This window comes from Homo sapiens, chromosome 1 (assembly GCF_000001405.40).
Source record: "Homo sapiens chromosome 1, GRCh38.p14 Primary Assembly".
In the NCBI taxonomy this organism is placed as follows: Eukaryota; Metazoa; Chordata; class Mammalia; order Primates; family Hominidae; genus Homo; species Homo sapiens.
In genome coordinates, this window is record NC_000001.11 from 36591313 (window position 1) to 36600233 (window position 8921).

At 48.6% G+C, this 8921-nt stretch overlaps 2 annotated features.

Moving 5' to 3' along the window:
* Positions 34-203: an enhancer, noted in NCBI's record as "experimental_7558 CRE fragment used in MPRA reporter constructs". NCBI's record gives its function as "activates a minimal promoter by MPRAs in K562 erythroleukemia cells, with activity observed for both the introgressed and non-introgressed 1:37057032 or rs12405687 variant alleles {active_cell/tissue: K562}" and the evidence as "EXISTENCE:reporter gene assay evidence [ECO:0000049][PMID:34662402]".
* Position 119: a transcriptional cis regulatory region, noted in NCBI's record as "Neanderthal adaptively introgressed variant 1:37057032 (GRCh37/hg19 assembly coordinates) or rs12405687 in the experimental_7558 CRE". NCBI's record gives its function as "modulates activity of the experimental_7558 enhancer by MPRAs in K562 erythroleukemia cells {active_cell/tissue: K562}" and the evidence as "EXISTENCE:reporter gene assay evidence [ECO:0000049][PMID:34662402]".

Below are 8921 nucleotides of genomic sequence, written 5' to 3' on the forward strand. Positions count from 1 at the left end.
TAGTCAGGCCCCACACTTCATTAGGCACTGTCTGTTGCATCTTGGTGCCTCCGTGAAAACTTCTTTTTAAAATCCCAACGCGTTACATGTGTCAGAGGACAGTTCCGCCTCCTGCCTACGACAGAGGGTTGGTAACAGGGTGTCCAGAACCAGCCATATCCAGCTGCCTGTGGCGCCCCCCTCAGCCCTTCCCTGCACATTGGCCATCAGGCAATAAGACTGATAGGAAATTGTCAATCTGAGTAAACTATAGAATATCGAACCCCAGTTCTATCCTCAACTTGGTGTGTGACCTTGATAGATGTTGTGGCTTCTTCATGCTTCAGTTTTGTCATCTGTGAAATGGGCACACTAGTATTTACCTCATAGATTGTTGAGAAGAATAGATGAGACAACCAAAAATACTTCGAGCAAGATGCTTGGCACACAGTAAATATCAATAAGTAACAATTTATTATTGTTCTTATTATCTACATACTCTGGAATTTGGGGGGAAGTGGGGAATAGTAAGAGCATGGGCTATGGAATTTGGAGCAAGACAGATCTGGTTAGACTCTGGCTCAAGTTTTGTGACTGGCCAAATTACTAACCTTCTCTGAGCCTCAGTTTCCACAGCTATAAAATGGGCTGCCACTCTCCCAGTTTGCCTCAGGGTTGTTGTGGGGATTTATTGAGAAAAAGTTGATAATGCTCTGAACTCAGAATTTAGTTTATACTAGGCAATTGATAAAGCGCAGCCATTGTATTCTATTACTGACGGGATACTGGGTTTTCCCAGAGCTCTAGGAAGTGCCAGTCCTCACCGATGCCCCTTTAAATCAGCCACGCTGCCCTGACTTTATCTGTGCCACTTTAATCACCAAGGAAACAGTGGAGGGACCCAGATATCACTGAGAAGCCCTTGATTGAGAATTACTGCACCTCACAGGCAGGAATCTCTCCTCCGTTGCCCTTGTCCTGGTGTTGCATGTTGGAATGCAGCTCTCCATGGTCAAGACCTGGGAACTCAGCCTCAAATTAAATGCAAACAGATGGATATCTCTCATCTGTGTTTTACTCCGACTCTCCAAGCCATCCTGGAGAATAGGGGAGCTGCGTCTCGGGCCTGCCTTGCTAATGAGCAGGATCATTTTCTGTACCCTCCTCTTGCCATAAAAAGAGAAGAATTGCTTTTCTGTTTGGCAATCCAGTATCAATATTTCCAGAGTGATATGACAAATAAAACAACCCCAGGCTTTATGAATCTTCTGATAGCTTGGGGAGACTGTGGGAGGATTGCTGGGAGTGTGGCTCCCCTCTTCCTTGGTCTCACCCCCTACCCATGCAGAGCGACCCAGAGAGTCAAGCTGGGTTAGAGACTCACAGGTGGAAAAGCCCCTTGGAAACAGACGGAGGTCCAGACAGAAGATGGATGTGCCCAAGTTCGCAGGACAGAGCTAGTACTAGAAACAGGTTTCCCAGCTCCCTGTTCCATACTTTCCCACTAAACTGAGATTTCCAAACTTTTAAAAAGTTACAGAATCAGGCCAGGTGCAGTGGCTCATGCCTGTAATCCCAGTACTTTGGGAGGCTGAGATGGGTGGATCACGAGGTCAAGAGATAAAGACCATCCTGGCCAACATGGTGAAACCCTGTCTCTACTAAAAATACAAAAAATTAGCTGGGCATGGTGGTGGGCACCTGTAGTCCCAGCTACTTGGGAGGCTGAGGCAGGGGAATCTCTTGAACCTTGGAGGCGGAGGTTGCAGTGAGCCGAGATGGCGCTACTGCACTCCTGCCTGGCGACAGAGTGAGACTCCGTCTCAAAAAAAAAAAAAAAAAGTTGCAGAATCTAATACAGAAATTCAACACAGAAAACAGATAAAGCAGAGATGCTCCGGTTGAAGTGTGTTTGGCAGAGGGGCAGGAGCTCAGCCTAGTGTCCTCCCACACCGTGGTTGGCCCTTGAAACTCATTCAAGGAACCCTAGGGTTCTATGGCACCCAGTTAAAAAAATTCTGCAGATTCTCAACATCTGCATTTGGGGAAGAACGTTTGGAAGTTTGGACTCTAGTCTTTTTGAAAACAACCAGAATTTTGGGATTCTGCTTTGTTGCCTCTCCTTCCCCGTGAGCATTTGCTAAGAAAGGACAGGGCCAGGTGCGGTGGCTCATGCCTGTAATCCAGCACTTTGGGAGGCCGAGGTGGGCAGATCTCCTGAGGTCAGGAGTTAGAGACTAGCCTGGTCAGCATGATGAAACTCTGTTTCTACTAAAAAAAAATACAAAAAATTTAGCTGGGGTGGTGGTGCATACCTGTAGTACCAGCTGCTTGGGAAGCTGAGGCAAGGATAATTGCTCAAACCCAGGAGGCAGAGGTTGCAGTGAGCCAAGATCGCACCACTGTACTCCAGTCTGGGTGACAGAGCAGGACTCTATCTCAAAAAAAAAAAAAAAAAAAGAAAAAAAAGAAAGGATGGGGAAGCTGCCGTTCAGTTTCAGAAGAAAGGGTCAAGAAGAGACAAAGCGTCTGAGTGGGATGGGATGGAATCTTCTTCTGGGACCTGACTTCTCTCTAGCTGGGTAGGGTCAACATTTCCTCTCGGTGAGCAGTAGGAGCCAGTCTGTGAGGGACTGCCTCCCCTCCTCTGGATCCTGGAAGGGGAAAGGACTCCTGGGTTCTCAGTCCTGTGCTGTTGGGGGCAGCTGTATGTCTGCTGGCAAGGCAATTCACTGGTCTAAGCTAAGCCTGTTCACCTCTGAAACAGGCACGACGACATGACCTGGGTTGTTGTATGATTCAGTGAGCGAAAGGGCATACAGGTGACTGACCAAGTTCCTGGTTCATAAGAAGTGCTCTATAATTGTTAGTCCTTAACTTCACGTGTTCATTTTTTATTCAACAGATGTTGATTTGAAGCCCTGGGCCCTGGGCTGGTTGCTAAGGCTACGGAGCTGGCTGGAATGATTGCTGGTTGGAAGAGGTGGGGCTGCACAGGGTTCCTGGCCCTTGCTGCTCGTACCTGTGCTAATGCCCTCCCTCCTTTGTCCTCAGCCCCTTCTTACCAGAGCAAAAAGGGATTACGGAGTCCATTGGTTTTTCAAGTCTTTTTTTTTTTTTTTTAAAGCAAGAAGCTGTTTGTAAAAATAAGTAATAATGATGGAATTCTTACTATGGGAACAATTTTAGCTCCTAAATATCCTGTGATTCTACCATTATGTCCATTTTGCAGCTGAAGCAATTGCTTCAGGAGGTTAAAGAATGTTCCTAATGTCAGCCATTCTACATGGTGGCTCACGCCTATAATCCCAGCACTTTGGGAGGCCAAGGTGGGTGGATCACCTGAGGTCAGGAGTTCGAGACTAGCCTGACCAACATGGTGAAACCCCATCTCTACTAAATTCAAAAAATTAGCTGGACATGGTGGCGCATGCCTGTAATCCTGGCTACTCGGGAGGCTGAGGCAGGAGAATTGCTTGAACCTGGGAGGCAGAGATTGCAGTGAGCCGAGATTGTGCCATTGCACTCCAGCCTGGGCAATAAGAGAGAAACTCCACCTCAGAAAACCCCCCAAAAACAAACAAACAAAACAAACAAACAAACAAACAAACAAAAAACCATGTCACAGAGCTTATGTGAAATTCTGATACATGAGGAGGATCTAAACAGGCCTCAAAAAAGAAACTGGGGCTCCAGCTTTCCCTTTAACCCCTCCCTGCCACATAGTCCTAGCACGTAGTTTAAGCACTGTGGATGCAGGTCAACTTTCTCATCTGCTGAAAGAGGGAAGTGAGGAGCCTTGGTCAAGGTCATTCATTTAACCCAGTGGCAGAGCTGGCACCTAAGCCCAGGGCTCTGGACTCCCGGCTCAGGGCCACATCCTTGGCTGCATCAGGGGACATGGAGCATCATTTTGGCTATGTGAGATGATCTCCTTGGCCCCTTTTAGTGAGATCACTTCTGAGCGCTCTTCTGTAGTGGGGCTGGGCTGGGCTGGGCTGATCTGGGCTGATCTGGACTAGGCTGTCCTGTAAGGGAGGCTGAATAGAACCCTCCTTGAGGGGAGAAATGGCTCACTTCTTGGACTCCCAGGCAGCCCCTCGTTCAGACTTCTTTTCTTTTCTCTTTGAACTTCCCCAAGTTACAAACCACACAATTAAGGGCTCTCTAGTAAGCCATCCATCTTGTCCCATAAAGAGAGAGCTGCAAGCCTCCCGCCGGCTTCCTCCTCCTCTGGGAGGGGATCAATACCTTATCTCAGTCGGGCCTGTGTAGAGAGGAAGGAGGGAAATGAAAGCACTTAATTAAGGCGCAGAGGAGCGGAAAGGGAACACTGCGTCCTCCCTGCTCCCATATCTCCCCTCTGAAGGCAGCGGGCAGCTGCAGAGTCCATGAGACTTAAGTCTCGTCTGCTCAGGCTGCAGCCCCCGCTGCAGGAGGCCGAGGAAGAGGTGTTGAAGTTAAGAACTACAGGGGGCCCTAATGTCTGGGCCCAAGCTACAGCTTGCCCCAAATGCAAATACCCCATTTTTTTTTTTTTGAGATGGAGTCTCGTTCTGTCACCCAGGCTGGAGTGCATTGGCATAGTCTCGGCTCACTGCAACCTCTAGCTCCCGGGTTCCAGCGATTCTCCTGCCTCAGCCTTCCGAGTAGCTGGGACTACAGGTGCGCAACAGCACGCCTGGCTAATTTGTGTATTTTTAGTAGAGATGGGGTTTCACCATGTTGGCCGGGCTGGTCTCGAACTCTGACTTCAAGTGATCCACCCATCTCAGTCTCCCAAAGTGCTGGGATTACAGGCATGAGCCACAGTGCCCGGCCCCCATTCTTTATTGTCCAGCCCACTGCCATCCCAAGCAGGCGCGGCCCTGGCTGTGGACGGTGAGGAGGGGTAGTAAGCAGCAAGCATCCTGCCTGAAAGTGCCCTCCGGGGCCTAAATTTCCTCCACGAGAGTGTATTCTGTCAGCTAAGGAAAGCTTTCTTGGCTTTATGTGCCTTGATGACTATAAATGCTTACAGGAGGGAGATCCTCTTCTGTGCTGCAGAGAGAAAGCAGCTCGGTTCAGGGTCCACATTTCCCTTCCTGTTAGGCCCTGGGAAGTACTTAAAAACAGCCCTCCGTGCACTGGGAAGGTGAGTGCCCACATGGAAAAGCATCATGCACTTGAAAGACCTATTGCCAGAATTTTCTGGGCTGTTCAAAAGTCCCTCTGCCACCCGAGGTTCTTCCTTGCTATCCTGTGTGACTCTCTCCTCTGGGAACCTGGCTGTTGACACTCGGGCATCTCTTGCCTCCTTGGCTCCTGGTGCCTTCTGTCCTGACTGATGCCAGACTGTCAGCCTTCACAAGCCCTGTGGCTGCCTGGCCTAGATGTGATCCTTGCCTCTGGCTTTTCCAAAGGTGACTCTCATCACACCTCTAGCCTTTCACATCCAGCTCCAGGACAGTGGGTGGCACCTTCTTGGCCCCGTGACCCAGACAGTCCTGCCCCCAGGGGGAGTACTGATGGGGTGAGAGTCATTTCCAGAGGATCCGGAGCTTGGGTGGAGGGTCCCCAGCCAAGCAGTCCTGTTCTGCCCTTCCCTGGGAGGCCTGAGGTCCACCTGTAGCCACCACCCCTCCCTGCCTACTCCAGGGATTCAGTGGTGGAGAACTGAGGGTGTTTGAGCCACAGCTGGGGGAAAGTTGACTGTTCCCACAGGGTGGGCCCTGTTTCCTCATCACCCATGAGGGCCAGGCTTAGTGGATCTACTCAATGGGACCAAAGGGGATGTTCCCAAGGGGAGAGTCCTCAGTGTCGGTGCGCCCCTGAGAGCAAAGGTTTTTGAGATAATTTATTAATTTGATTTTTTTTTTGAGGCAGTAAAAGGGGGAATGGAAAACTGATCCCATCCCAGGGGACGAGCCCTGTCAAGTTTTAAAATTAACGTGAGTGTGGTGTGTAGAATTGTTGTCCGCTGCTGGTCACCCACAGGTGTAACTACAGTGTAGCTCTGACCTTGACCTCTTATTCCTCCTCACCAGGGTATGGGCTGAGCCTTAGTCAGAGGTCTCAAGGCTGGTTTCCTTCCCAGTGCCCATCTCAGCCTCCCCTCCACTTGTCTCTTGGGGTGTGGGTTTCTCTCTTACATTGTTCACTCCTGCGTCCCATCTGATGTGACCAGGCTGCTTCCTGCTAAACTCATCAGGGGCCTTGCTGTCCGTCTGCCTGTTCTTGTTCTGGGTATAATCTTGTATGGGCATCTCCCATGTCCACCTTTCACTCCAGCCATTGCTACCACCACCAACTTCAAGCTATTGTACTTAACAGCACCTGGGGCAGCTATACCACACTTCTCTCACTTCCTGCCCCAGGGCTTCCCTGTGCAGAGTTTAAGATTCCTGTAGGGACACACTCAGCACCCACGTATATACAAACCTGGGCGTGGGAGTCGGTGAGCCAGCTCATACCAGTTTGCAAGAGCTGATTGTTAGATATTCAGAACATTTACTAGACAGGTGCTAAACCAGCGACAGCTTGAAATGAACTATGGTGGGAGTATTTACACCCATGGCAATTGGCAAATAATACAAATCAGTCTCCCCTTCACCCCAAGAGCCGATTTACCAGCACACTACTGGACGGCATGACCACTCATCCTCTGGGGCCACCCTTCACCAATGGGTAGTGGATAAATACTCTCCCCTTTCATTCTTCAGATGGATAATTCTGAGGTGTGTTCTACACAGCACAGAAGGGTCTCAGAAGGCCCCCGCAAAATTGAGCTCCAGTTTCCCACAGCAATGGCTGGTCAGATAGTGACCTTTGTCTTGAATTTTCGTATTTCTCTGTTTTATTCTCTTCAGCCTCCCACTCCTGTTTCCTGGCATACTTTCCAAAATAAATGAATGGGATGCAAACCTTTGTTTCAGACTTTAGTTTTGTGGGTAGGGGCACAAGCTAAGACTATTTCTTTAAGTACAGACTATATTTGCCTACCTGATGTGCCATCTCTCTGCTTTTATTCCCTTGGTTTTTATTTCTGTATCTAGCTGTGATTGTACAGAGTCCTCCCAAAGCAATGACTCCTGCATTGCCTTGGAACACCTTCTGTAGAAGTGGAAAGGATTTTAAAATATTCTGTCAATTTAGGCAGCAAAAAGAACATCTTCTGGCTGGGGTACTCTCTGCAAGTCTCTTGCCTGTTATTCTAGCAACTTTCCTCTATGATTGATTTCAGTTTCCATTTGCAAGTATAACCACTACCTGTGTCTTCTCCTTGTGATCGATTTTCTCTATAGTATTCCCCCATCACAGCTACCCAGGAACCTTAAAGCTGAAGGTACCATCTTAAGTAATTTGGCCAGCCTTCCCCTAAACAGATTTTACATGTCATCATCTTGTTTCCAGTTTCTAACCCAAATCATTGGTCCTGATTGACCTCAAACTGATATGTTGCTGATTGTTGAATGTTCTGACCTGTGACTCAGTTTCTCATTGTTAGCAGAATTCCATGGGTTGCACTTAATGGAGCAGATTGGGTGAAGGTTGGAGAGCTTTCTAATGAACTGGGTCATGAACAGTAGCTGTGGTGGTCCTTGTGCTTTTCTCCTTGAGATGGTCATGCCCCATGAAAATTAGATTGGGCCAGAGTGGAAGGGGGCTGGGTATTCTTCCCCTACTTGTCCCTCTACTAGGGCCAGGTCCATTTGACCCACACAGTTCCATGAGTTATCTGCCCCATGTCATCAGTCCTTGATGGGGGATGGAAGGAAGGATGAATAAAGAAGAGGTCATGGTCACCAAGACCCGGAGGGAAGACACAGGGAGGAGAGAGAAATGGTTATGGTCGGTAGAACAACCTTCCATCCAGGAGCAGGCTGACTGAGAAGATCCCACTGGGCCATCCAGGGGATTGGTACCGTCAGGAACCTCCCAGATGCTCCACATCAGGTGCTCCTAGGAGTTCTCTCAATTCTGTCTTATGCCTCAGATGTGGCCTTGAGTTTGTACATCTTTCATATTCCATCTGCTGAACTAAGGAGAGGATGGCAATGTATGGAGCTAGCCTCTCTTCTCTCCCTCTCAGGAACCTTCAGCCCATGGAAACTGGCAAATTTGCAGACTGGTACATTTTTTAAGAACCTGCTGGGAGACCCTAACAGGAGAAGCAGAGACCAATGTTCTGAGACTAGTGTTTGTGGCTTCTCTTCGTAAAGAGAAGGCAGGCTATTCTCTACCTCCTGATTCCCTGACTTTTGAGTCCCTAGAACTCAGGCCATATGACAGAGACCAGTTGGGTGCTCCAAATACCCACATGCTACTGCTTATTCTCAGCCTTCCTTGCAGTTAGGTTGGGGCCATGTGACTGGTTCTAGCTGATGAGATGAGTGCAGAACTGATGTAAGTTTCCTCCAGGATGGCTTTTGAAAACATCTCATGAAAGTATCCAGTCCTCTTTTCCCTTTCTGTGGCAAAAATGAAGGCCACACCTTGAGGATGGCAGTGCTACATGACAGAGAAGCTTGGATCCCTGAGTCGCCACTGGAGGAAAGCCACTCGACCCACTGGGTTAGGCAGAATTTTGGCCCCAGTGATCTTTTCTCTTGATTTTATATAATATGTTATGTTCCATGGCAAAGAGGACTTTGCATGTGTAATCAAGATTATTAATCAGATGACTTTAGACAGGGAGATTATCCTAGATTATCTGGGTAACCTCAGTGTAATCAGATGAGTCCTTAAAAGAGGAAGAGGGAGGCCCAAGAGGAAGTCAGAGAGATTTGAAGTGTGAGAAGGATATGACACCCCATTGCTGAATTTGGAGATGGAAGAGGCCATGAACCAAGTAATATAGACAGCCTCTAGAAGCTGAACCTGACTCCTAAGTGACAACCAGCAAGGAAATGGGGGCTTTAACCCTATAATCTGCCAACAACCTGAATGAGCTTGAAACTGAC